Source organism: Homo sapiens, chromosome 12 (assembly GCF_000001405.40).
Source record: "Homo sapiens chromosome 12, GRCh38.p14 Primary Assembly".
In the NCBI taxonomy this organism is placed as follows: Eukaryota; Metazoa; Chordata; class Mammalia; order Primates; family Hominidae; genus Homo; species Homo sapiens.
Genome location: NC_000012.12, coordinates 58074388 through 58098445, shown reverse-complemented (window position 1 = coordinate 58098445; position 24058 = coordinate 58074388). Strand labels below are relative to the sequence as shown.

The 24058-nt window shown below is 41.7% G+C and overlaps 2 long non-coding RNA genes across 4 annotated transcripts, besides 1 other annotated feature; one reads left to right on the top strand and one right to left on the bottom strand.

Moving 5' to 3' along the window:
• The first annotated feature begins 452 nt into the window (after window positions 1-452).
• On the top strand, window positions 453-17238 carry LOC105369784 (uncharacterized). Of its 3 annotated transcripts, XR_001749166.2 has the most exons (4): window positions 453-664; window positions 7845-7875; window positions 8848-8980; window positions 17013-17238. It is a non-coding gene; the product is annotated as an uncharacterized LOC105369784 (long non-coding RNA). The 3 variants fall into 3 exon arrangements; XR_945001.2 differs by lacking the exons at window positions 453-664; window positions 7845-7875 and adding an exon at window positions 7501-7591; XR_945002.2 differs by lacking the exons at window positions 453-664; window positions 7845-7875 and adding an exon at window positions 7501-7647.
• Window positions 4440-5639: an enhancer, noted in NCBI's record as "BRD4-independent group 4 enhancer chr12:58486590-58487789 (GRCh37/hg19 assembly coordinates)". NCBI's record gives its function as "activates an origin of replication core promoter dependent on BRD2, P300/CBP, MED14 and CDK7 cofactors, and independent of BRD4, by STARR-seq in HCT116 cells {active_cell/tissue: HCT116}" and the evidence as "EXISTENCE:reporter gene assay evidence [ECO:0000049][PMID:35650434]".
• On the bottom strand, window positions 5084-10554 carry LINC02403 (long intergenic non-protein coding RNA 2403). Its single transcript, NR_135022.1, has 4 exons — window positions 10334-10554; window positions 10125-10238; window positions 9896-10008; window positions 5084-5119 (listed from the first exon to the last, which is right to left on the bottom strand). It is a non-coding gene; the product is annotated as a long intergenic non-protein coding RNA 2403 (long non-coding RNA).
• Window positions 17239-24058: the final 6820 nt, after the last annotated feature.

Sequence of the window (24058 nt, the reverse complement as noted above, 5' to 3'; positions counted from 1 at the left end):
TTTTTATTAAAAATAATAAATAAAATATTTTAGGAAACCCCAAAGAGATTAAAGTGGATCTACTGAAATTGAAGGGAGTGGGGAGAAAGTGGACCCCAATCAGTTCAAGTTACAAAGCGGTCCTCAAGAGAAGAAAAACAGCGTCAGAACAAGAGAGAGGAAGTGTAATATTGTGATACAAGAAGAAATATATATTTGGTCTCTGTCCCCATTTCTGGAGCTAATATTTGGTCTCTACCACAGTTCCTGACACAGATCTCCTAAGACCTCTGTAATTTCCTGAGTGGTAGGAGCTTCTGGCACAGAGGTCCAAAATCCCTTGGAATTTCTTGGGCGATAGGAGCATCTTCTGTTCTAATGAGGTAACAGTTGGTGGAGGCTGGTCGCTAGGGGAACCAACAATGTGATTGGAGGGTTGGAACTTTCAGCCTCACTCCGTGACTTCCTGGAAGGGGAGAGGTACTGAGGTTGAGTCTATCCCCAATGGCCAATGATGTCATCAATCATGCCTAAATAATGAAGCCTCCATAAAAACTCAAAAGGATGGGATTTGGAGAACTTCTGGAATGCTGAGCATGTGGAGGTGCCTGGAGAGGGCATGGAAGCTCCACATGCCTGCCCACATACTTTGCACTGTGCATCCCTTCCATCTGGCTGTTCATCTGTATCCTTTGTAATATCCTTTATAATAAATAGGTATTATGGTTTGGATGTATGTGTCCCTCCAAAATTCATATGCTGGAACTTAAACTCTAACGTAATAGTGTTAAAAGGTGGGATCTTTGGTGAAGTGATTAAGTCAAGAGGGTTGTACCCTTATGAATGGGATTAATGCCCTTATAAAAGAAAATGAAGGGAGTGCCCAGCCCTTTCAGCCCCTTCTACCATGTGAGGATGCAGCAAGAAAATGCCATGTTGGAAGGAGAGAGTAGCCCTCACCAGACACTGAATCTGCTGGTGCCTTGATCTTGAACTTCCCAGTCTCTAGAACTGTAAAAAAAAAAGTGTTTATTATTTATAAATTACCCAATCTAAGGTATCTTTTATAGCAGCCCTAACAGACTGAGACAATAAGTAAATATAAGTGTTTTTCCCCGAGTTCTGTGAGTCACTCTAGTTAACTAATCGAATCCAGGGAAAGGGCAGTGAGAACCCCCAATTTATATAAAGCCAGTTGGTCAGAAATACAGGTCACAACCTGGGACTTGTGCTTGGCATCTGAAGTGTGGGGCAGTCTTGTGGGGCTAAGCTGTTGGATCTGATGCTAACTCTGGATAGACAGTGTCAGAGTTGAATTATAGAACATCCAGCTGGTGTCCACTGGAAAACTGATTCTGGCTGGTGGGGAGAAATCCCTACATATTTTGGTGACCAGAGGGGAAGTATTCTGCAATGACGATGATAGAAGGAAAAGCAGTTTGGTTTTTTTTCCTTGGGACATATCACATAATGGTAAGGGCTCATGATCTGGAGCAGACTACCTGAGTTCAAATCCCAGCTTCACCACTAACCAGTTATGTAATTTGTTGAGCACTTATTATCTGCCAGGCACTGTGCTAAGTGCCTTGCATGTATTAATATTATCTCATGAGTAAAGAGACACAGAGAGGTTGAGTATCTTATCCTAGATCTCACAGAAGAGCAGGGATCTTAACACAGGCATCTGATTTCAGAGCCCACATTCTTAACCACTGCACTGAAGTACTTTTTTTTTTTTTTTTTTTTGAGACGGAGTGTCGCTCTGTCGCCCAGGCTGGAGTGCAGTGGCGGGATCTCAGCTCACTGCAAACTCCGCCTCCCGGGTTCACGCCATTCTCCCGCCTCAGCCTCCCGGGTAGCTAGGACTAGAGGCTCCTGCCACAACACTCGGCTAATTTTTTGTATTTTTAGTAGAGATGGGGTTTCACTGTGTTAGCCAGGATGTTCTCGATCTCCTGACCTCGTGATCCGCCCGCCTCGGCCTCCCAAAGTGCTGGGATTACAGGCGTGAGCCACCGCGCCCGGCCCCAGTACAATTCTTTTACAACCATTGTTTTAAGCTATATACATCTCTATTAGTGAGGGTTCTACAGAGAAACAAAACTAATAGGGTACAAATTCACATAGAAAGAGATTTATGTTAAGAAACTGGCTAGTGTAATTAAGCTGGCAAGTTTGAAATCTGCAAGGTGGACCATCAGGCTGGAGACCCAGGAAAAGCTGATATTGCAGTTCACGTCCAAAGGCCATGGCAGAATTCCCTCTCGCTTGGGGGAGGTCAATTTTTTGTTCTATTTAGGCCTTCAGCTGATTGGATAAGGCCCACCGAAATTTGGGAGGGCAACCTGCTTGACTCAAAGTCCCCCAATTTAAATGTTAATATTGGCCTAGCATGGTGGCTCACGCCTGTAATCCCAGCACTTCAGGAGGCTGAGGCAGGCTGAGGTCAGGAGTTCAAGACCAGCCAAGCCAACATACAGTGAAACCCTGTCTCTACTAAAAATACAAAAATTAGCTAGGCGTGGTGGCACACACCTGTGGTCTCAGCTACTTGGGAAGCTGAGGCAGGAGAATCACTTGAACCCAGGAGGCAGAGGTTGCAGTGAGCCAAGATCACGACACTGCACTCTAGCCTGGTTGACAGAGCGAGATTCTGTCTCTCAAAATAAATAAATATATAAATGTTTATCTTATCCAAAAACAGCCTCACAGAAACACCCAGAATAATGTTTGACCAGGTATCTGGGCACTGTGGCCCAGCGAAGTTGGCACATAAAATTAACTATCACAGCTTCCATCCATCAAAATAGGTAAAAAGACTCAGAGAAGGTGGTAATGGGGAGACAGGGAAATGTTTGGACATGGAGTAGCCCAGCAGGACCAGCCTGAGAGGCCCCTATTACATGGTGATGGCCAGGGACCCACTAAACACACCAACACCCAGTGAAAGCAACAACAATAGGGGTGGGGGTAGAATAGCAGACTCATTTGGCCCACACACTCTCTCAGGCCCTTCTTACTAAACCTCCTATCTGTAGGGATAGTGTGAAAGGATTTGGCAGGGTCCTGTATGAGAAACCTCACAAAGTTTGGATTGTCTTTTACAACCATGAGCTGAAGGCCCATTTGGTCAGGGACTCTTCAGTTTGGGATGTGACACTCTTGGATTAGGGGGATCTGAAGATCTTCTGTAAAGCACTACTTGGTTTCCATCAAGCTGTGGAGGGAGTGCTCTTGGACACTAAAAAAAAAAAAAACACCTTCTCACTTCCTCATTTGGGACTGTCAAGCCAAGAATGCAAGGAGAGGTATACAGAAAACACCTCATTTGGAGTTATTTACTTTAACTGCTCAGCATTGTGAGAACAAGCTCATTCTTGTACCTTTCCTCCGTGGATTTGGTGATCACAACAAGGGACTTATCCATCATTGGAGTGGCCACAATCTGAACAAGTTCCACCCACTGCCTGAGAGTCCTGCCCTGAATTTTAGACTTTGATCATAAAAAAATGGATAATATAATTTAACAGTGAATAAATTAGATATCAATGAAGTTGGCATCAAAGCAAAATGTACCCATGTCGGTTGAAATATTGTGCTAAGTTGTCAGTGTACTAGCTTCCTTTCCAACCAAATGGGTGCAGGAAAAGCTGCATCTGGAAGAGTACAGGATTCAAAGGAGAGGGTAGAGTTAGACACAGAGACCATGAAACCTGACATGAGTTCAAACCTTGGCTTTGCCACCAACTGTATGACATTAGGCAAGTCACCTAGCCTCCTTGTCCCCATCTGAAAAATGCACCGCAAGGATAACGCCAGCATAAGGGCCCTGCCAGGCAGCTGAGGACATGGCGTGGCTTCCCCACCAGGCATATGTCAAGGTCATAGGGGAAAGCAGAGGAATCCCAGGTACCAAGCAGAATCAGGAAGAAAGGGTCAGGTAAGGAGACACCACGGGGATAATCAGGGGAGGGCCTCATCTCAGAAACTTCAGATGGTGCCTGAGAACTAGTTCATGGTGACAGAGCAGTCATGGAGCCATTTCCAGACCTGCTGGCCTTTTCATACATAATTATACTGAGCAATTATTATAAATAATTGGAATGGCCCTGGAGAGGTAACAGGACCAAAAGAAGTTGCCTCTTGATAGCAATTTCATATGTAGCAGGGTTGCAATTCACTTACACTACCTTCATAAATCCAGAGAAAATGAAGTTTCAGTATTTTCTTATAAATTACTCTCTCTAAATTCCCCATTCCCCTTGCAAGCAGAAAGAGGGAACTAGAGATTTTAGTTCAACTCTAAAATTACAGGCCATCCCAAAATCTGAACAGAGTCCTTAAGTAATGTGATGTCTTTGGGATAAAAGCCACTCCATGTCCTCAGCTGCCTGGCAGGGCCCATATGCTGGCGTTATCCTTGCAGTGCATTTAGGTGACTTGCCTAATGTCATTCAGTCTTTCAGATGCCTGATCTTCCTTCCTTCCTTCCTTCCTTCTCTTCCCCAAGATGATGTTCAAGGAAGGGAAAGGTCCTTGATTCCACATGGCATCCCTTGCAGCAAAATGCCTAGACTGGGCTGCTCCTGGAGAGTGACCCTCATGGAGCAGCCAATATCTGGAGGAGTGTTAGTGTCTCCTGCAGAAGCTGGGCTGGGCTGGACTGGGCCAGACTGGCCCCTTGCATCTCCACAATGGCCTGGTGATTCTCCCTGGCTACTCACTCAAGCTCTGCCACATCCTTCAACCAGCTGCTGGAGGTCACCTTCCTCGTGTCTTGCTGGGTTCTAAAGCAGGCTTGTTTGGATCTTGTCCAGTCCCTTTCACTACCCCTCCTGGGGCTGGGAGAGGTACCTGGGCACATCTGGGTCTCCTCCACACCTCACCACATGAATTGGTACAAGAGTTGTCTGGGAGAAGAGAGTAATCCAGTTCCCTTCTAGAGTCTCACACCTAAACTGAAACAAATCTCCTCCACCCCATTCTTGAATGTCTTATCCCACATACCCATCTCCCCACTGCCTCCCAAACCTCTATCTTTTTCTTCCCACAATTCCCCAAGTAAGTGAACTTTCACTTACTTCTGTAGGGGAAGAAAGATTTCTTTTCTCATTCTTCACCAGGTTCATGGCTGAGGCACCTATAAGAAAAGGCTGATTAACAAAGAAAAAGCACACGTTTATCTAATATAAGTTTTATGTGACATGAGAGCCTTCAGAAATGAAGACCCAGAGAAACAAGAAAACCTGTATATTTTTACACTTGACTTTGTTGAAGAATGGACAGTCATGGGGAAGTATGATTGGACAAAGGAGGTATAACCTAATGGGAATAAACTTGGAGGAACTTAGTAAGGCAGGTTTGTTTGTTCAGATTCTTCTGTGTCTTCAGAGATAAGGATGTTCCTTTCTTCCGGGTATAGGGAGGGTACTTCCTGAATGAGGATGTTATGACCTGCTTTAGAGAAGAAGGATCCAAGAAAGTCAGAGAGTGCCCTTCCTGGGTTTTATGACCTGCTTCAGGGGAGAGGGGGAAGGGTAAGTTGAGGGAGACATTCCACTTCTGCAGTTTTCTCAAATGTCAGGCTGCCATATTTTGATGTTCCTGTGCCCCATCACTTCCCTTTCCTCTCTTACTGAGACTCGGCTGTTGCCACTTTCTCCTCCTCCTCCCAGGTTCTTAGCTCATGGCTAAGTCTTACTAATAAGTAGAATTCAGGGGAGAAAAAGATGACAGGAGCTAAATTTGGATCTTTCTCATAAATATGAAACTCATTATCCTGAGAACAAAAGATCTCTCCCAAATTCTCAGAAAGCCCCCTTAAAAACAGGCAAGGAATTATTTCAGGGTGTCCTTGTAAAAGTCAGCACAGATGGCATTTGAATTTGTACATCACTGGCATGCATAAGTATACGTATAGCAACAAGGTGTGCAAAACTTGTAATTCCCTAGACTTTGACCACAGGAGAATAGGATGTGACTGTTATGCTAATGATCTCATTAATATCATGAATACAATTAACAAATGAAGTCAATTATCACTGGCAAGCATTCATTACAAAGAGATAAGTTGCTGTGCTCCAACCACACAAGTAACTATTTTGCTGCATTTGTCCGGAAGCTCTCTTTTCATCTTTGCTCATTTATTACCACTAAATGTATAAATGCCTGGGAATGTGGACTCAGCTCATTACTTATATATATTACCTTGATTATAATTTGACCTCATGTACACTTCAGTTTGAAGAACCCTACAAAATGCCACTTCTATTTATAACACAGCCTCATCTGCCAAGCCTACAGGAGAAAGCCTAATTGGAAAGAATAAAAGGTTACATTTGTGTGTAAACTGCACATTCATTTAGTCATCGATTTTATTCTTTCTAATTATCAGTGGTTGTGCATCTCCCAGTAGCTTGGATATAGTTGGTTTTCCTCCTAATAATTCCTGAGAAATAGAAACTCTAATGATCAGATCAGTCGTTGGGAAGTGTGGTCTCAATGTGCAGTTTATTGGGGCTGTCAAAAATTAATTTCAGCATTCAAACTTAAACTGCCATAAGACTGTGGTTCAGAGGCCAAATGCCTATTTTTATGTGACTCTTTCACTATCTGTATCATAAGAGCTGCATGTTCTTTGTAGTTTAAAACAAAATAATGGTCTTACCAGAAGTCCCACAATTAAATCTTGTTGCAGGCAGCTTTTCTTGCTGCCCCTCCATAAGAAGTGAAACGGTTCTCAGACGTGGATTTTAAACTGTTTGAAGAAATGACTGAAGCTGACCTCTACTGGGAGCCATCTCAGTTCCCAACCTGCAGCATGCACAGCTGCCTCTCTCTCTCCTTCTGCCCACCTCGGCTTGCCTCCCCATCCCTAAGTCTCCCTGGTATTAATTAGTCATTTCTTGCTGCCCTAACAAAGTACCACAGACTGGTGGCTTAAACCAGGGGTCCCCCCACCCCCAGGGCCACAAACCGGTACCAGTCCCTGCATGGCCTGTTAGGAACTGAGTCACACAATGAGCTGCACGCAAGTACGCTAAGCTTCATCTGTATTTGCAGCCACTCCCCACTGCATGAATTACCAGCTGAGCTCTGCCACCTGTCCGATCAGCAGCAGCATTAGATTCTCATAGGAGTGCAAACCCTATGGTAAATTGTGCATGCAAGGGATCTAGGTTGTGCATTACTTATGAGAATCTAATGCCTGATGATCTGTCACTGTCTCTCATCATCCCCAGATAGGACCATCTAGTTGCAGGAAAACAAGCTCAGGGCTCCCACTGATTCTACATTATGGTGAGCTGTATAATTATTTCATTATGTATTACAATGTAATAATAATAGAAATAAAGTGCACAGTAAATGTAATGTGCATGAATCATCCCAAAACCATCTCACCCCCTCCACGAGTCCATGGAAACTCTGTCTTCCACAAAACTGGTCCCTGGTGTCAAAAAAGTTGGGGACTGCTGGCTTAAACAACAGAAATTTATTTTCTCACAGTTCTGGAGGCTAAAAGTCCAAGATCAGCCAGCCAGCACGACTGGGTTCTGGTGAGGGCTCTGTTTCTGGCTTGCAGATGTCTGCCTTCCCACGGTGCCCTCGCATGGTGAGAGAGAACTCTGCTATCTCTTCCTTTTCTTCTAAGAGCACCCGTTCTCCCAGGTCAGGCTCCAGCCTTATGACCCCATTTAACCTTCATTACTTTCTTCAAGGCCCTCTCTCCAGTATAGCCCACATGAAGGGTTAGGGCTCCAACATATGAATTTAGGGATGGGACACCATTTAGTTTATGGCACCCCTGGCCCCGGCACATTGATGCTCTTATTCACCATGACGCAACATCTTTTCAAACAAAAAAGTTTTGAGGAAGCTGTGCTGGGAGAGTGGCTGGTGAGTAGCAGGGCTCCCCCAGTTCACAGGCTGTGTCCTTTTTGCAATATGCCTCCTCATATCGCTTTGTCAGGTGGGTCCTTTGCAGAGGCCAAGGCAGAAATTTCTCAGGGAGGTTGTAGGGGTTGAAAGAGTAGGGAAAGGGCTGTTTCTCCAGAAGTGTCTGTGGTTATCTGAGCAAAGAATGGCTCTGATTAGGAAAGGTGGAGTAAACTGAAAAGATGGACTCCTAAGGGGCTGGCCTTAAGAGGGGACTGTCATCTGCATCATGGGATCTGAGGAACACTGAAAATGTCTGTTCAAAATGCCTCACTCCTTGGCCTGATGCTGACACTAAAACTTCACCACTAGAGATAAGGAAAAGAGGATCCATGTAGTTGTCAGCTAATAGAAAATGGAGGGAGGAGAAAAAAACATTGCTTGTCATTTTTTCCCAGACTATAAGAGCCAAAGGGAAAGAAGAAGCATTTTGCTCACTTTTGAACTCCCACCAAACTTAGTACGGTTGCCTGCGTAAAAGCGGGTGCTCAGTATATCTTGAGTGACCCCAGAGGATTTGGGTTCCTTTTGCATTCACATGCCAAGTGCTGAGTAAAACCTATTAACTTTAATGTTATTTATGTCACCAAATATATTTGTCCATTTCATTTTCGTCACCTGAGCCAAACTGGGCGTGGATGCCATACAAGGCCAAGCATTAAAACAGCCCCACAAAAGTCACATTTATACATTCAGTTCTTTCTAGTCCTCTCCCCACTTCATGAATATTTTAAATAATAGAATACAAGCTATTTTCTATTTAGTGTTGCTATAATTAGAAATTATTCTGGGCTACAGTAAAAGCACAACTGATGTGTGATTCACTTTGCAAATAAATTTACTGTTTAGCATTTTAACCGTGGATTCATTTACTGTATTTTCAGATTGTTTTTATATGAAACAGCTAACTGTTCTGCTTTCTTCACTTTGCAGTATTGGAGGTGTTTCCATTTTGAAACCACATCTCTTAACTAAACGAGTTGATTAGAGAAATGAGCAAATTAACAAGGTCAAAAGAAGGTCTTGCCCTGAAGGCACAGACTTGAAGTGTTCAGCTGATGGAGAGGTAAGGAAGAAAGAGAAAGCTGCCAGGCCATAGTCAGGGGGAGGCAGAGTCTGGTTATTTGTACCTCATACACGCCTAACCTGTGGACTCCTCTAAATACTGATGTATCTGTTTCTTGAACTAGCAAGGGCTCATCTGGCTGCAAGAATAGGGTAGAATCCCCACAAATTAGCTCAGAAAAGGGGCTCCGTTCAAAGGACACATCTCTTGTGGAATCCATGGAAGTGCAGGGGGAAAATAAAAATGGGAAAAACAGGACTCAGAGGACAAATTAGGGCTTGTCTGGGATCCTCTGCACCAGAAGCTCCCAGATATTCACATCAGCTACACAATTAAGGTGTCTGGGCTCTTAAATCCCCCTGTCTCTGTAACTTGGTCCCTTGCTACTCAAAGTGTGACCCTGGGACCAGCAGCCTTGGCATCACCTGGAAACTAGTTAGAAATGCGGAGTCTCAGATTTCACCCCTGCACTATTGAATCAAGATCTTTATTTTAGCAAGGTTCCTAGTAATAGGCTAGCCGCTTGGCAGCAGACTTGCCACCACTATGGCAAGAGGCTACTCCTGATCGAATTCTGGGGAGATAAATGAACCAAAGTCATAGGGCATAAAGAATAGTTAGGCATTGCAGACAAACTGTCCTACTGCATATGTTAAGTGTGTTTTGAGCTAAATTAAACCTGTGTCCATTCTGAGTGTTCAGTTCCCCAGAGAGTCTACACTGTGTACCCATTGGTACCATCTTGATGCACATCTCTTGAAATTAAGCATCCTTGTTTATTGGATGACTAGAAATGTCAACTTTCATTAGCAAAGTGAATGTTTGGTCCTTTATAAACACTGTTGTCACACCAAAAAAATGAATGTAGTGCACATATACAAGAAAAGAAAAAGGCGAGCTCTTTATAATTCTTACCAGTTCAGTGATCCAGTAATGAGCTCTCATGACCTCCTTTCTTCTCTAAAATCTGAATTCCTCCTAAGCAGCATCTTCACTGATGCTTTAATCCCAGGCGGTGGTTTCCATACCTGGAGGTATAGAACAGAGCTGTATGTCATTTTCTCCTCAGGATTTAAATTTAACTGGAGAAGGCAAGACTGTGGGTAGCTAATTAATAGATTTTTTTTTTTACAATTGCATGTACCTGGCATTATTCTGATTAAATTTCCAAGCCGATTAAAAATGAGTCCAAAAGATTGGCAAGCATGGTTTCCCGCCTTGAGGAGCACAGAACTGGCTGGGGAAGTCCCCAAGCAAACTTCCGAGTTGAGAGACATGCCAAAAAAGAAAGGAAGGTGGTGAGCACAGGTTCAGAAACAAGATTTGCAGTTTCTCTCTCTTTCCATCTCTCACCTCATATAACAAGCACCAATCTTTCTGTGCTCTAGTTTTCAGCACACAGAAATTTCTGGTTCTTATCTACCAGCAGCCAGAAATACACAAACCCCTCCGGTATCACAGATGCGGGATTTCCACTACAGCCCATTTACTGAGTGTTCTGCATTTCACACATATTCAATGGGCCCTGCTTCTCAGGGCTACCCGGCCTGAGCCCTGCCCTGGGCTCCCGGGGCGCCTGCCATAAGCACATCCTCCTTGTTAAAAGAGACATTGGCCACTCCCCTTTGTTATTCAGACGCTACCACTCGGTAGAGAGATTAGGACCTAAGAAAGGCTCTGTCTTTGATGTCATTTTACAAATACATAAATATAAGGAAATAGAGGGAAGGAAAACTTCACGGAAAAAAATGTTTTAAAACAGTGCCCAGAACAGCATCTTTAGGTAGATGCCTTTTCAAACCAGGTGGTTCTGGTGAGCGTTTCCAACATGTGCCAAGAGGTGGGCACTTGATCCAGTTGGACCAATCATAAAGTCTCACACTTTGGTCACTGTGATTGGGCCAGGAATAAACACGTGACCCCCCCTCAATCCAGCCAATCAGGATTCTCCTCTGTTTTTTTCAAACTTGAGCTTAGGAGAGAGTACCTTTCCTCTCTAGTCTTGGAACTGTAAACGTGGGAGGCTAGAGCTGTAGCAACCATGGCTCCAGCCACATGAGAAGCCAATGTGCGCAGACAAGCTGATGCTCAAAGAAGCCAAGACAAGCAGGAAGAGAATTCCTCACAATGTTCAAGTCCCTGGTTCCAGTTGTCCCTAATGTTGACATCGCCCCTCCCTTCCAGTTCCATTAACCAGTAAATCCTCTTTTCCGCTTTCTCTAGTTCAGTTTCTTTCACTTGCCACAGCTAGCAATTATTTCCAGTCACTCTCCTGCTGTGATAGCTGCCCTCAGCAAACCCCTCTTTTTAAAATAGAAATGCCTCCTCAGAAGCCAGGAGAGTTGCTAGCGTAAACAGATCCACACCATGATGCAGTCAGAAGATCTGGACGGCTACAAAAGGCAGGAAAGGGGAAATAGAAACAACTGGCAAGCATTTTATGTCGGGATCAAATTGCCATTTTTACACAAATCTTTGTTATTAATGGAATATAGTATTCCTGGATTCTTCTCATTATAAGGATTGCACGCTCCACACTCACATCTGTGTGTGGAACAAGCCAGAGGGTGACCTACACTCACTATGGAAAGCGTTCAGTAGGCCCTTGCCAATGCAGAGGACGGCAGACTGAACTAGACCTCAAAGACTATGTGATCTGGCCCGGCGTGGTGGCTCACGCCTGTAATCCCAGCACTTTGGGAGGCCAAGGCAGGCGGATCACGAGATCAGGAGTTCAAGACCAGCCTGACCATGCAAACTGCTACCCCAAGGCCTTTGGATATGCTATCCCTTCTGACTAGAAGGATCTCTGCTTATTGCCTCCCACCCACAAATTAATCTCACTCTTCCCGAAGACTTCAATCAATTATTATTTTTTTCACAGAGGACTTTGTTAATGCCCATGACTGCATCAATTCTCCTGACTATATACACTCATTTCACCATGCACCTCTCCTCTAGAGGATTTAGCATGTATCACAATTGTAATTATATTTTGTCTGCTTCCCCTGGTGAATTTTAAGCTTGCCATTGTATCCTCATCATCTTTCACAGAACCTGATATATAGTTCAGTAAATATTTGTTGGATAGATAAGCATATTTAGGTTAAGGGTAAAATGATAAAACAAAGAAACTCAACAATAATTCAAAGATTGAGAAAAGATAGCTTGTTATTTACCTAAAAATTAGTGGTGAGCATTCCATGTCAGTGGGTGGCTTTGCTCCACATAGTCATTCAGAGACCCATGATATGAGTCATTCAGAGACCCAAAGGTTGAGTTGATAAATTCCAGCCAGTAGAGAGGAAAAAGAGAGCATGAAGATGCATATCGGGTGTATAAAGTCCCAGCGTTGCAAGAAGCACAAATCACTTCTCACATTCCACATGACAACACCTAACTACAAGGGAAGCTTAAAAACATAGGATATCTTGGCAGCCACATGCCAACTACAATTTTGTTACTACAGAAAAGAAAAACATAAGTCATGGACAATGAAGACTGCCCACCACAGAGTGAATTAATAAATGGGTGAATATGGTCCTCCCAGCTTCCACATAGCAAGCACCATTTGCCCATCTCCTCTGGTTTTCTGCCAAGTCCACCAAAATCAACAATGGGGCACCCAATGCCCAACATCCTAGGTCAGATGCGTCCTTATGTGGCCAAGGCAGTCAATACCAGTGCTGCTGAACCCATTGACTTATATTCCCAAGGCCCCAAGGAAGAGCAACTGAAGCACTCTTTTCTTTTCCTCTTTCTTGCACTGTAATTCCTCTCTCTGTGGGATTCAGGGATAGGTCTATGGTGGCTGGGCTGGAAGGCAAGTCAAGTGATGGTACTGGACTATTCTCAAAGTTGACCAGCCCTGGAACATTAGACTATTACCCTGGCACCAACTTCTTGAGCAGAGAGTCTCTTTACTCAGGTTGAGTTCTTTCTCAAAAGGTTTGTTGGTCTTCCATACAAAGACTCCTAGAGAAATTACCTGACAGGCAGGCTCTTCTGACTACCCAGGCATGCTTGAATTAAAAGACTTCACAGAGATATTTCTCAAATTAGGACCTTGATGATATAGGATAAAGAAAATGTCTTCAAATAGATTCATTTATAAAACATTTCTAGATGATCAAAAATCACTGAGTTGTTACCAAACCAGAAAAAGTTGTTATATGCTGTTCCAGTTGCTACTGCTGCATAGCAAACACCCTAAAACTCAGTGGTATAGAACAGCCATTTTATTATGCTCACAGATTCTGTGGGTCAAAAATTTGAACAGAGCACAGAGGGAGGGCTTGTCTTTGACCTCTGATAGCTGTGTATTCAAGGAGGAAGACTCAAAGACTGAGGGTTACTCAACAGCCGAGGAGTGGAATCATCTGGCCTGCTCACATGTCTGGTGGTTGATGCTGGTGGTCAGCTGGGATCTCAGCTAGGCTGTTAGCTGAAATACCTGTATATGGCCTTTCCATATGGCCTCTGCATGTGAGCTAGCTGGGCTTTCTTATAGCATGGTGGTTAGATGCCAAGAACAAATGTGCCAACAGAGCAAAGCAGAGCTGCATGGCATTTTCATGATCTACCTTTGGAAGTCACAGAGAGTCATTTCCACCACACGCTATTGATCAGTGCAATCACAATATCCACCCACGTTCAAGAGGAGGGACACTGGCTCCACTATTTTATAAGTGAAATGTCACAGTCACATTATAAGAGAACAAGGGGTAGGAGAGACAATTGTCATCATCTTTGGAAAATACAATCTGCAACATATTGCCTCAGTTGCCTCTGATGAAAAACAGATGTTTTTTAACAAATAAGCCAATTAGCAATATTTTTGAAACAGTAAGGATTTGAGTTTTGCTTTAATGACTTGAAAGGCAGAGTAGTTAATTCAGACAAAAAAATACTTTATTCTATTAAAATAAAATCAGCACTAATAATCCTCAATGGTTTTGTAGATCTACTGGCCAAACAGATTGTCACATGTGTTTATATCACATATATACCATCAAAATGCAAGGGTGGAATGATGAATAACTTGTACACAATTAGGGCCATGGAAAACTATAGGGTAAAGGAAGTGTTCTCATTGAAATATATGTATTTCTTTCAATATCTTTTTTTCCTATCCCTATGTAATCCAAATGTCCTCAGGCTTCACTAGCCTGTGAGGCCACCATAACAACAGTGCTCACATCTTGCTGTTTTATGTCCTCTACTTGCATTCATAAGGTTTTTGTAGCCACCGTCACCTCCTCAGCCTTAAAGTCTTACCCATTCTGAGAATCTCCAAGTGTTGAGTTCAGAAACAAGTTTGTTCACACCTTCTGCTTTCAATGTCCACTAACAAAGAGCCAGCCACTTCAAGGAGGTATCTGGGCCCAGCCATATCTGCCAGTATCATCCATGAGGACATTTCTCTGAGGTCCACAGTCTCACACAACATTCTATCCCCACCCTGAGCCCTCATGTGGCCAACCTGCATCTAAGAAAATGGACTCCTTGCAAACGCTGACACACAGACATACAAGCACATGGCTTGCCAAGGTTCATTACATTTCTCATTATAGTAACCCTTTTCTTCTGCTGTCTCCCTCTGCTTCTGTCTGAAACGGAACACCTTTTACTATTGGAGTTAGACCTTTAGAAACATATGGGAAGGCCAGTGTCCACACCATTCCCAAGCCACCATCTTTAAGGAGCCAAAGCAGGGTTGGGTTCTGTGCAGAGATGTGGAAAATGGATTACAGGAGAGAGTGACAGAGGAGTGGGGACAGGGAGAGAGAGCGAGAGATTCACACAGAGAAAGAAAGCTCGCAAAGTGTTAGCAACTGATCAATCTAGAAGGTGAGATTTATATATGTGTTTATTGTTTTGTTATTTCAACTTTTCTGCCGATTTGAAATATTTGAAAATTAAAAGTTGAGAGAACAATTTTAAAATAAAGGACTACAGAAGACAAAAAATAAAATTGCTTTAGTGACTACATCTTATGAGCCTGCTGGTTAGATGTATAGGTTATAGTCATTAAAACAAAAGGTGATGATGGCCCAGACTAAGGCGGTGGGAGTGGGAGCAAATGTAGAATCTAGATATGAGAGAGAAATTTCTGGCTGGAAACAAAAAGGTATGGCTGATTGGATATGGGTGTGAGGGAGGGAGGAGTGAGGGCTGTCACTATGATATTCAAGAAGAGCATGAGAGATAAACTCTATTTGAACACGTAGAGTTCAGGTTCCTAGGAGACATCCAGGCAGAGATGGCCAGAGGGCAGACTGAACCATGGGCAAGAGGTCAGCACTGAAGTTACAAATACTTAGGAATTAATAGAAGCTGAAGCATGTACATGCATGAGCTCAGCCGGAAAAAGTAAGAAGTAAAGTGGAAGGAGGAGAAGACAAGGACAGGCTGTTTGAGGTGTCATAGGAAATTGATATCCAGGATGAAGCACTCAGTGTTAATCCCACACTCCATACTGTCTCCTGGTATAATTCATTCCTGGGCAAATTCCATTCCTCAATAACATTTTTTTCTTTCCTTGGGTTGTGTTTTATTATTTTAGTTTTATTATGCTGGTACAAATGCCAAGTACTTCTCCTAATAAATGGCCTTTTTCATCTGTTATATCACCCAAATGAATCCAAGCACTTATAATTAGCAAGGTTTACATAACAGGTATAATTTCTTGATAATAAAGTCTAACCATTATCATTGATTTTTCTTAATGGAACATTTTGTTTTTGAAATAAACAGCAGGCATTAACCAAATATATCTGGATAGCAATAATACTCAACTCTGATCATAACCTGTTTGCTACTCTCTTGAAACTAATCATAATTCTAGAACAAAATAAAAACATTAGAAGATTAATAAAAGCCATTTTATCAGACAAGGCTCATTCTTCTTTAGTGCTATATTTATCTCACAAGGGAAAATTACTTTATTACATGAGTAGCAATGCATTTATGACAAGGCACTTGAAAAATAAGTCTGATGCTCATTTTGAAATTCTATTTCTTAGTAGTCGTAGGCCATGCAGTCATCAGAAATACTTTCAAAAAGAAAAAACTAGCACATGCTTTTAAGTGCTTTGCTTCCAATAATAAAAGGACTGGCAGGTGTATATATTAGAGTTTAGACTGTCGGTATTTGGTTTATGTTAAATCATAAATGAAATTCAGTACTATGGCCATACCAGATCTAAATATAGTCGTGCCCTGCATAACAATGTTTTGGTCAGTGATAGACTGCACGTATGACTGTGGTCCCCTAAGATCATACCATGATTTTACTGTACCATTTCTATGTTTAAATATGTTTAGATATGCAAATATATCATGTTATAATTGCCTACAGTATTGAGTACAGTAATATGCTGTACAGGTTTGTAACCTAGGAACAATAGGTTATAGCATAGGCGTGTAGTAGGCTACACCATCTAGGTTTCTGTAAGCACACTCTGATGTTCACACAATTACAAAATCACTTATTGAACACTTTTCTCAGAATGTATCCTTGTCGTTAAGCAACACATGACTGTAGTTAGACAAAAGAGAGGGTTTTTCAATTATTCAGTAATTTGATATAGTCAAGCAAATAATTCCAAGGAATGGGGGGGAAATGCCCCCTACTGCCTAAACTACTCTAATTGGCAACACTTAGAAGATCCATGGGTAAATCACTGGCCTTGTTACCTCTGTGTCACCAGCTTACCCCACCAACTAGCTCAGAACCCTAAGATTCTGCAAAGTATCTGCCCCACCCCAATCCCACCGCAAAACAAGTATCATATTTCCAAGAGTACCTGGCTGGCAGAGATTGCCTATCATATTTCATTCTCCTATTTCAAGATATAACCTGGAGCAGCTGCCTAGCCAGGGAAACCCATTGCCCACTCCATTTGCAGTTAGGTAGAAACATATAACTCCTTTCCACTGTGAAGTAGAAGGGGGGTAATTTGTGCCACTTCTAGACTGAGGTTTTTAAGAAGCAGGCATATCTCCCCCATGCTCTTTTTTCTTCTACCAGCTGAATGCCATGACAACCAGGTGCCAAGGAACTTCAGAATCTCCAAATGGAAGTCTCCAAAGCCCCTGATTCACCAGAAAGAGAGAAAACCATCCACTGGCCACCACACTGTTATATGAGCAGAACACAAACTCCTGTTGTGTTTGAGCCTGTAAACATTCTGGGCAGCAGATTATCCTCTTTAACATACAAAATGATGCCTCAAATATGCCTACAAACAAGTAAAATCAGCTATCCAGAAAGCTACTCTGTGCCATAGTTTCTTTATTTCTATTTCTGCAACATGAGGCACCCCAGTGTCAACCAGGGACCGCTACATCTGCTGGGCTTCCCCACTCACGTTACTTCAGTCTGGCACATCTGCCTCTTCTGCCAGGATTGCCAGACATTATTGCCATAGCCTCTGGGCACCACTGCCTCCACTGGCACTTCCACTGCTTATTTTGGGTACTCATGCTCTGGCTTAACACGCTCACTCTTCCTGAATTCTGCTACCTCTTCGGCTGAGGCCCTCGAATTACTGAAAGTCCTCCAAGCTTTGTGGTGAATTAAACAAATGCATTAATCCATTTTGATGTTACACTCATTTGATTTCAAGCAGCTGAAAGAAGAGAAAACCCAGCTCACAGTGGCTTAAGCAATAAAAGCATTTACTGATCTCGTGATATAAGAATTCTGAAGATGTGGAGCTCCAAGTTTGGTGCAGCAGCTCCACAGCACCATCCATCATCTAATTTCTTTCTGCCTCAACCATGCCATTCTCAACTGTGAGCTTTTCATTCTTGGACATGCCATCTCTTGATCACAAGATGACTGCCACAGATACAAGCTGCACATCTTCACACAATATCAGGTGGGCAAAATGGTAAGAGAGTTTCTCCCAGAAGCCCAGCTGCAGCCTTCTCCTTGCACAGCATTGAGTAGAACTAGGTCACATGGTCATCATAGCTCTGGGACCCCTGGGAAAGGGAGACTGTCAAAGTAATGAAATTGCCATTAATGACTTAAACCAATCATGATTTTAGCCCTCATAGTGGGGCATAAGGCTACCCCCTCCCCCTCAAAGAAAACAAGATTGTGTTTACAAAAAGGAGGGGAAATCGCTATTGGGGTTAGGAGGGCAACTAACAGTGTCCGCCACAGATTCTGATTCCGCCGTATCACCTTCCATACACAGAAAATCTAGTCAAGGTCTTCTCTCTTCTACAGCCCAGATTTGAGTCCATCGGGGACTGGCCAGGTATAAGGCTAAGTGGTGGGCATCTGTCCCCTGTGTCATCCACACATACACTGGCTGTGACTATGGTTTTGATAATGGATGAAGCTTTTCAAGCCTGTCTCCTTCTCTCTGAATGAGTGCTCATCCAGTACCTGTAGTGATCAAAAAAGGCTTCGTTGCAGCAGTGCTCCACCAGTTTGACAGACAAGCTTATACATGTTTATATTCCATAATAGTCATTGTTTGGGCTTAAGCTGCAATTTACCAGCCTTATCCCACCACTTTTCATTTTGTCTTTACTGGACTTCAAATTAAGAAGCACATCATTTTTGATACATACTCAATACTGGTCAGAATGTTTTAGATAAAATCTTATCTTGGAACATGTACATATCTTTAAACATTTCAAAAAGGAAATTCTGCAAGTGTTCAAGTCACATTAACAATAAATACTAAGAAAGACAACAGGCCATTTATTCAATATTAACCGCATTTAAATGTGAGAAAAATCAAAGATTGTTAAAGGAAACACACTACTTGTCAGAAATGGTATGTGTTAATAATTCTGAGAGAAAAATTCTAATTCATCTACAACTTCAAAGGGTAACATTTCCCAGGGGAACTTAAATTAATCATAGAAAAGGAAAATGCAATGGCATTACATGCATTTTTTAGGCTCTTGATATTTTCCTTCTACCTATTTAAATGAATTTCCAAAATGATGGACTCTCTCTGGAGTAAACCTCCAGAACAATCTGAGATGAGGCTTTCTGATTGTCCATATTTCATACTTAGGGCAGTTCAGATGCCTCTGTGATAAGAGAGGCTTGCAGCTGACACAAAGTTTCTGATAGAGAAACTGAATTTATTAAAATACAATATCTATCGATGTGCTAACACGTAAGATGTCTTCAGGGCTTCAGTTAAGGTCGATGATTTCTAGTCTACATAAATTTCCCTGGAACTGACTGTAAACTAGTTAAATGGCTGACTGGTGACAAAAAGATGAGGAAAATAATGAATGCATATAAAGCAGCACAAAAGATTTGGAGGCAATTGTATCTGCTCTGTAATTATGTTGGTGCACGGGAAATTAAAATTCTTGCTGGCCTCCTCCTTCCCTTCCACCCTTTCCCCAGGCCTCCTCATCTTGTCTCAATAAAAAAGCTCTTGAAGTAAATGGGAATGGTAGTTTGAGGTCAAAGAAAACAAAAAGAAAGAAAGATAAGAAGAGAGATGAAAAGAATGGGCAGGAGGGATCTCCATGGCCCCCAGTGAAGTAAAGGGCTCTTGCACGACCAAGAAAGGCTGTCTTAACTAAAGTGTCTGGTCAAGGAAGGAAATCGTTCAGATGAATTTTTTTGCCTCTTACTTCTATCCTGCACATTGGGGTGTGATTATCTGTGTATATTATATTATTCCTCCAGAGCAGGGTTGGACAACGACAGCAAGGCCAAATCTAACCTACCACTTGTTTTTATACCACCCACAAGAATGGGTTTTACATTTTCTAATGGTTACATTTTTAAATGTTACATAAATACCTACATAATTCACTCAATTTTGCCTCACAAAATCTGAAATATTTACTCTCTGGCCCCTTAAGAGTTTTTCAGCCCCTCATTAGATGAGACCTCCAGAAGCAGCTCTGTTCGTTTATACTGTTCTCCCTTGGATGGAATAAAGCCTGGTGGTTGGATGGATAAAAAAGAGTTTTGAGAGCATCCTGGAACAGGGGCAAAAACTTTTTTTTTTCATTTGCAAATGAAGAAACCAAGATCTATGGATGCCAATCAACTGACCTAAAGTCCAGCTGCTTTTTAGTGGCAGAGCTAAAGCTAGAATCCCCTCCACAGCATACCACCTTGATCTGGTGCTGCCAACAAGGCATTACAACACCTTTCGAGCTCTGTCTTTCAATCCAACTGATCAACCTCTGTGCATCAGTAAGATGCAAAAGCATGGCTATTCAGCGTGTGCTTTGATGAAGAGGGACAAATGCAGTTAGTAGAGAGAAAAAACAACAACAACAACAACAAAAACTAATCTTATTCCTAAAGAGAGGTACAGTTTGAAACTCAGTACCTGGGTAAGTGACAAACCTGATACTGTCCTAAGCAATTAATCTATGACTATATGGACCTATTGAGGAGACCCTGAAAAACATGACTGTGTTTACTGTGAAATTCAAAACTGATTTGTAATGCACTTAATGGTAAACTGAGAGTAAAAAACACACTGATGAAACAATTTTTTTCATTATGTATGCTAGTAAAAAACACACTGATAAAAAGAATTTTTTCATTATGCATGCTCAGAATAACATCAGAGAGAAAATAATTTCCTTGACACATTTTATGGCCATTTTGAATGTCTCTAGTGATAAGAGTTTCTAACTCTTCTCAGGAAGGCTACTCCCTAAATGAATACTTTTTGTTGTCATTTAGGTTTTCCAAGGCAATATCTCAAGGTCTAATGGGTTTATTCAACACTCAACACAGATGCTAAGTTGAAACCTTTCTAACCATTTTCTAATCCAAACTGTATTATGATTTTTTGCTATGTTTTTAAAAGCTTGGGGATTTGAAATCTTGACATGTATATTTTAAGAAATATTGATGCTTCCTTAGGAATTTAAGAGGAAAGAGTCAATCAGTTGGGCATAACTAGACACTCTGACCAGCTCTCTGGGAATAATTAGCCTAATGCTATTGCATAGGTGATGTGTGGCTTTATATTATCTACACAATGTGAAAGAAAAACCCTTCCTTCCTCTCTCTGGAGGGTTCTTTTGAAAGTCTTACTGCTCTAGTTAGTTCAATGCTATTTATTTTTACTGTGTTCATTATTTTAGTGCTCAAGAGTAATGTTCAATGTTTAGTAACAATAAATTTTATTTCCCATATGTCAGTCTTGTTACAAAGCTAATACAAATCCCTCTAAATCTTCTGCGCCATTTAGTATGCATTCATTACTTTCTTCATCTTTTTTTTTTGTCACCAGCCAATCATTTAACTAGTTTATAGTCAGTTCCAAAGTAATCTGTGTAGATTAGAAATCAAAAGTGTTGTCCAAGGCCCTCAAGGCATCTCACCTGGCCCTCTCTGTAGTGAATTGGGTTTTTTCTCTATCAAATCAACCACACATATATTCTATGTAGACCTGTGGTGTTGGCTTTATTTAACCTCCAACTTCAGAACACATACTCTCCAGTCATAATCAATCAACCAACAATTATTTCTACCCATGTAACGCTCTTCTAAGGAGTTGCTCTGGGTGAAAAAATAAAACCAGAATAAATGACAGCGGATGGCAAAAAAAAAAAAAAAAAGACAGTATTAAACAAGTGATTTTTCTGAGTTGATTTAAACTTGGCTAAGGATTTTAGAAAGTCTTGTCATTTCACAAGTGAATGTCACACACAAAGAGTAGAGGGAACAAAGTGATTCTCAACAGAAATGTCTAGTTTTAATTTATAGAAGGATGAACCAAAGACAACCTACATTAAAATACATTTTACTCTTTACGTTATGTGGGACACGCTGTAAATATTGCCCCAACAAAACAAAATCTTGTGTCTATTTAGGCTATATTCAAATTTTCTCTAAAATAAATCAAGTAACGAATGTTTATTGAGTCCCACAGTTTACTCTGTAGGCCCTTCAACACAAAGATGTTGGAGATCAAGGAGAAGGCCAAATCCAGAAGGCAAGAAAGCATAGAGGGAAATGGAAGAATATCTATGCACTCTTTTTCTCTGTGTCTTTCCCACCCACTACCAGGGCAGCAAAGCTTTACCTTGACCTATTAGGACATGCTTATCATGAAAGATTTTAGAATAGAGTGAGACCATAGAAGCCAACTTTTCTTACAAACAATGTTTCAGGACACTGTTCACAAATCTCTGTCTGAATTTTCTAAGGCTATAATGAAGTAAATACCTCCCACCAAAAAAAAACCCCACAAAAACAAAAACAAACCACACAACAACCCTGCCTTCTGGTAAGATTGTATCTAGGTCAGGTCAACAGGTTCCTGTTTTATTTATGCCTTTTTAATTACATTAATTTCTAAATGACCTCTGAGCAGCACCAAATTTATAAATAGTAAAACCATCCTTTTAGAAATGTGTTCATGGGAGGTTAAGTCAGAACAAAAGATCAGGCTGCCCAACTCAAATGAGCCAGACAATACAACCAAAACCTTTATCAAGTACAAACAAAAATTCACCCAAACAAAATTGTGTTGTTAGGTAGACAAAACCTACAAACAACACACAGAATTCTGTTCCAAAGCAACTGGGTATTCTGGCACTTTATTACATTTCACAATCTAGTCATCGGTTCATATGTAATTTTTAAAAATCTACCCATAGTTTACCATGTCTTCAGATTTAAAAAAAAAAAATGTGGAGCATGGTTTCCTCTGTGGATTAGTAATTAATTGGTTCCTACTGGGGCTGATTTTCCACACCTCTTTTTATACCGTAAGCCCCTTTGACCCAGCAATCCCATTACTGGGTATATACCCAAAGGATTATAAATCATGCTACTATAAAGACACAGGCACACATATGTTTATAGCAGCACTGTTCACAATAGCAAAGACTTGGAACCAACCCAAATGCCCATCAATGATAGACTGGACTGCATAAAGAAAAGGATTTGACCCAGCCATCCCATTACTGGGTATATGCCCAAAGGACTATAAATCATGCTGCTATAAAGACACATGCACACGTATGTTTATTGCGGCATTATTCACAATAACAAAGACTTGGAACCAACCCAAATGTCCAACAATGATAGACTGGATTAAGAAAATGTGGCACATATACACCATGGAATACTATGCAGCCATAAAAAATGATGAGTTCATGTCCTTTGTAGGGACATGGATGAAATTGGAAATCATCATTCTCAGTAAACTATCGCAAGAACAAAAAACCAAACACCGCATGTTCTCACTCATAGGTGGGAATTGAACAATGAGAACACATGGACACAGGAAGGGGAACATCACACTCTGGGGACTGTTGTGGGTTGGGGGGAGGGGGGAGGGATAGCATTGGGAGATACAGCTAATGCTAGATGATGAGTTAGTGGGTGCAGCGCACCAGCATGGCACATGTATACATATGTAAATAACCTGCACATTGTGCACATGTACCCTAAAACTTAAAGTATAATAATAATAATAATAAAGAAAACAAAACAAAAAAAAAAGACAAGGTGAGACATATACACCATGGAATACTATGCAGCCATAAAAAGGATGAGTTCATGTCCTTTGCAGGGACATGGATGAAGCTGAAAACCATCATTCTCAGCAAACTAACACAAGAACAGATAACTAAACACTGCATGTTCTCACTCATAAGTGGGAGTTGAACAATGAGAATACATGGACACAGGGAGGGAAACATCACACACCGGGGCCTGTTGGGGGGTGGGGGGCTAAGGGAGGGATAGCATTAGGAGAAATACCTAATGTAGATGATGGGTTGATGGGTGCAGCAAACCACCATGACACGTGTATACCTATGTAACAAATCTGCACGTTCTGCACATGTATCCCAGAACTTAAAGTATAATTTTTTTAAAAAGTATGACCCCATAAATTTTGGCATCTTCTCTCTATCCTAATCTTTTCTGGCCATTTTGTAACTGAGCTCCACCTCACTGTCATTATCTCTCACCACCATTTCAGCCACTTAGCTCTGCCTGCTCTTCAATGCAGTTACCTGCCTAGGCTGTCCCAACTAGTTCCTCATTCATTAGAACACACCCAAGTACAAGGTTCTAGTTTCCTCCTCAGAAGCCTATCT